This window comes from Homo sapiens, chromosome X (genome assembly GCF_000001405.40).
Source record: "Homo sapiens chromosome X, GRCh38.p14 Primary Assembly".
NCBI lineage: Eukaryota > Metazoa > Chordata > Mammalia > Primates > Hominidae > Homo > Homo sapiens.
In genome coordinates, this window is record NC_000023.11 from 35821333 (window position 1) to 35825222 (window position 3890).

At 37.8% G+C, this 3890-nt stretch overlaps 1 annotated feature.

The window, feature by feature from the left end:
- Nucleotides 1938–2686: an enhancer, noted in NCBI's record as "NANOG-H3K4me1 hESC enhancer chrX:35841387-35842135 (GRCh37/hg19 assembly coordinates)". NCBI's record gives its function as "activates a minimal SCP1, AML or CMV promoter by ChIP-STARR-seq in naive and primed H9 embryonic stem cells {active_cell/tissue: H9 hESC(naive and primed)}" and the evidence as "EXISTENCE:reporter gene assay evidence [ECO:0000049][PMID:30033119]".

Below are 3890 nucleotides of genomic sequence, written 5' to 3' on the forward strand. Positions count from 1 at the left end.
ATAATTTATTTCAAAAACACGTATTTGAAAAATATATAACAGAATGGCAATGAAATAATTTAAATTTTAAAAATTCATTATCTCAAAGGAAAATATAATTGATATCTCAGAAAATGCAGTAAGAAACCAGATGAAGCTCTTCAAGTGATAAAGCATTTATAACTTCATGATGCATTTAAAAGAAAGAAAAAGTGAATTATACTTTAGTTACTCATAAGTGTAAAAAGACAAATGTCAAAATATGTCAAGTTCCTTTAAAACAATAATTTAATGTGAAATGTCTTTCAAAAATATAGTCATTTCTCTCCATATGTAAATCTAACCACAAAGAATTGTAACTGTATAGGTATATTTTTTCCCTGAAGGTAGTGTTTGCTACTGGACTAGCAAAAGACAAAAGATAAAATTTAAAAACTAGAGAAAAAACTTACATTAAAAAAATAGTGGAGTAGAAAATTAATAAAGTAGATTGAAGTCCTGTTACTCAGTGAGATGACCTTCACTAAATCAACTGGATTGGATTGCCCTGCTTTCCTCATCAATAACAGGAAGAGCTTCCTGATAGACATTTCATGTTATGGCTTCTTGATGTCAACAGCTTTCAAACTAGCCCCTAGTTATAACTAGCAATATCTATTGATGTATTGTAATCTTAAAGAAAATGTCATTGTTTGCCTTCCAAACTTCCTTCTTCTTCACTAAGGTTCCTGCTTTTTGTGGTCTCCATTCCCTTTACCAAACACTGGTTTGACCACAAGTATGGAACGTGATAGGTCAATGGGATCTATGAAGAGCCATGGGGCTATTGGGAAAGGTTTGCCACCTGAAAAAAAAGATAAGCACAAGAAGAAAAACCATTCATCCTGCTCCATGAATGGCAGTATGCTTTTCTCCCTCCCCTAACATGTTTTGCTGCTGAAACCTGATTTACTATCATAACCTCCCAAAAGGCCCATGCTCTGAGCCCCCATTCTTTGTGTAGCCTCAAGATGGTATAAAAGTGTCAACCATCTGGTTGAATTCTTATGCTTTGTATGACTCCCAGGGACATTGTAAAAGAAAATAAACCTCAGAACCCCAAAATTACTAAGCCAAAGGGAAAAGTCAAGTTGAGGACTGCTTCAGGCAAAACTGCCTCCCATTTTATTTCTGAATATGATAGCTAAGAAGATAAAAAAAAGTGTAAACCAAAAATAAAATTTGAAGGCCCCCTGGATCCATCTGAATGGACTCTCTCCTCAGTCAGAGCACCCTAAAATTTAACCTGTAAGACTAGTTCAGGCCATGACAGGAAGTGGGGGTTGGACATGCCTCATTATATCCCTCCAGCATTAACATCAACACAGACCTTAAGTCTGATAAGAAACATTTACACCTTAGGTCTGATAAGAAACATTTACACCTCAAGTCTGATAAGAAACATTTACAATCTATTCTTTCTAAAGCCTGCTACTTGGAGGCTTCATCAGCATGATAAAACCTAGGTCTCCACAACCCCTTACCATAAGGCAGACATTCTTTTTGTAGATAATAACTCTTTCAGCCAATTGCCAATAAGAATATGCTTAAATCTGTGAATGAGCTGGAATTCACCACTTCGATTTGTCCCATTCCCCTAGATCAAACCAATGTAAATGTTACATGTATTAATTGGTGTATTATGTCTCTCTAAAATGTATAAAAGCAAGCTGTACCCTGATCACCTTAGGCATGTGTTGTCAGGACCTCCTGAGGCTGTGTCATGGGCTCGTCCTTAACCTTGACAAAATAAACTTTTTTTTTTTTTTTTTTTGAGACGGAGTTTCACTCTTGTTGCCCAGGCTGGAGTGCAATGGCGCCATCTCGGCTCACCACAACCTCTGCCTTCCAGGTTCAAGCAGTTCTCCTGCCTCAGCCTCCCAAGTAGCTGGGATTACAGGCATATGCCACCATGCCTGGCTAATTTTGTGTTTTTGGTAGAGACGGGGTTTCTCCATGTTGGTCAGGCTGGTCTTGAACTCCTGACCTCAGGTGATCCACCCGCCTTGGCCTCCCAAAGTGCAGCAAAATAAACTTTCTAAATTGATTGAGACTTGTCTCAGATACTTTCTGGTTTACAAATGCTACATACCTCCTTCACAATTTGCCCACAAGGAAATTCCTTGTGGGTCTCAAGACCTTTACTTTAAAACAGTTCTGTTGGATTTCATCCTGGCAATGTAAATTGATAGCTTACCTTCACAAGTGTGGAACAAAGGACAGAACTCAAAGTCATCCCTCTCCTCACCTAAGACAAATGCATATCTGGTTGTTTCCTCTGCCCTATTGTTTATGTAAAAATGCAGATTTGCTGAGCCAGAGGAAGGTGTAAGTGACTATTCCTCTAACCCCCTCTCACATGTAAATTGTGTATTCAGTGAAAGGCTGATCAAAGACCCAAAACAATGCAACCATTTGTCTCTTATCTACGGATGACCTGGAAGCCCCTGCTTTGAGTTGTCCTGCTTTTCTGGACCAAACCAATGTACATCTTAAACATGTTGATTGATGTCTCATGTTTCCCTAAAATGTATAAAAGCAAGCTGTACCCTCACCACTCTGGATGCATGTCGTCAGGACCTCCTAAGGCTGTGTCTGTCATGGACACATCCTTAACCTCGGCAAAATAAACTTTCTCCTTTTAAAAAACTTTTATTTTAGGATTGGGGGTACATGTGAAGGTTTGTTCTGTAGGTAAACTCATGTCACAGGGGTTTGTTGCACAGATTATTTCATCATCCAGGTATTAAGGCTAGTACCCAATAGTTACTTTTTCTGCTCCTCTTCCTCCTCTCACCCTCCATTCTCAAGTAGAACCCACTGTCTGTTGTTCCCTTCTTTATGTTCAAGAGTTCTCACCATTTAGCTCCCACTTATAAGTGACAACATACAGTATTTGGTTTGCTGTTCCTGCATTAGTTTGCTAAGGATGATGGGCTCCAGCTCCATCCATATTCTACAAAAGACATGATGTCATTTTTTTTCTGGCTGCATAGTATTCCATGGTTTATAAGTACCACATTTTCTTTGTCCAATCTGTGATTGATGGGCATTTAGGTTGATTCCACGTCTTTGCTATTGGGAATAGTGCTGCAATGAACATAATATGTGCATCTGCCTTTATAGTAGAATGATTTATCTTCCTCTGGTTATATACCCAGCAATGGGATTGCTGCAAATAGTATTTCTGCTTTTAGCTCTTTGAGGAATGATCATACTACTTTTCACAATGGTTGAATTAATTTACACTTCCACTTGCAGTGTCTGCATTCCCTTTTCTTTGCAACCTCACCAACGTTGGTTATTTTTTGACTTTTTAATAATAGTCATTTTGACTGGTATGAGATGGTATCTCATTGTGGTTTTGATTTGCATTTCTCTAATGATCAGTAAAATTGAGGGTTTTTAAAATATGCTTGTTTACCACATGTATGCCTTCTTTAGAGAAGTGTCTGTTCATGTCCTTTACCCACTGTTTAATGGGGTTGTTTGTTTTCCTTTTGTAAATTTGTTTAAGTTCCTTAATGATGCTGGATATTAGACCTTTGTCAGATGCATAGTTTGCAAAAAATTTTTTCCCATTCTATAGGTTGTTCATTTATTCTGTTGATAGTTTTTCTTGCTGTGCAGAAACCCTTATGTTTAATTAGATCCCATTTATCAACTTTTGCTTTTGTTGCAATTGCTTTTGGTTTCTTTGTGATGCAATCTTTGCCCATTCCTACGTCCAAGATGGTATTGCCTAGGTTGTCTTCCAGAGATTTTTATAGTTTTGGGATTCACATTTAAGCCTTTAATCTATCTTGTGTTGATTTTTGTATATGGTGTAAGGAAGGGGTCCAGCTTCAATGTTCTGCATATGGCTAGCCAGT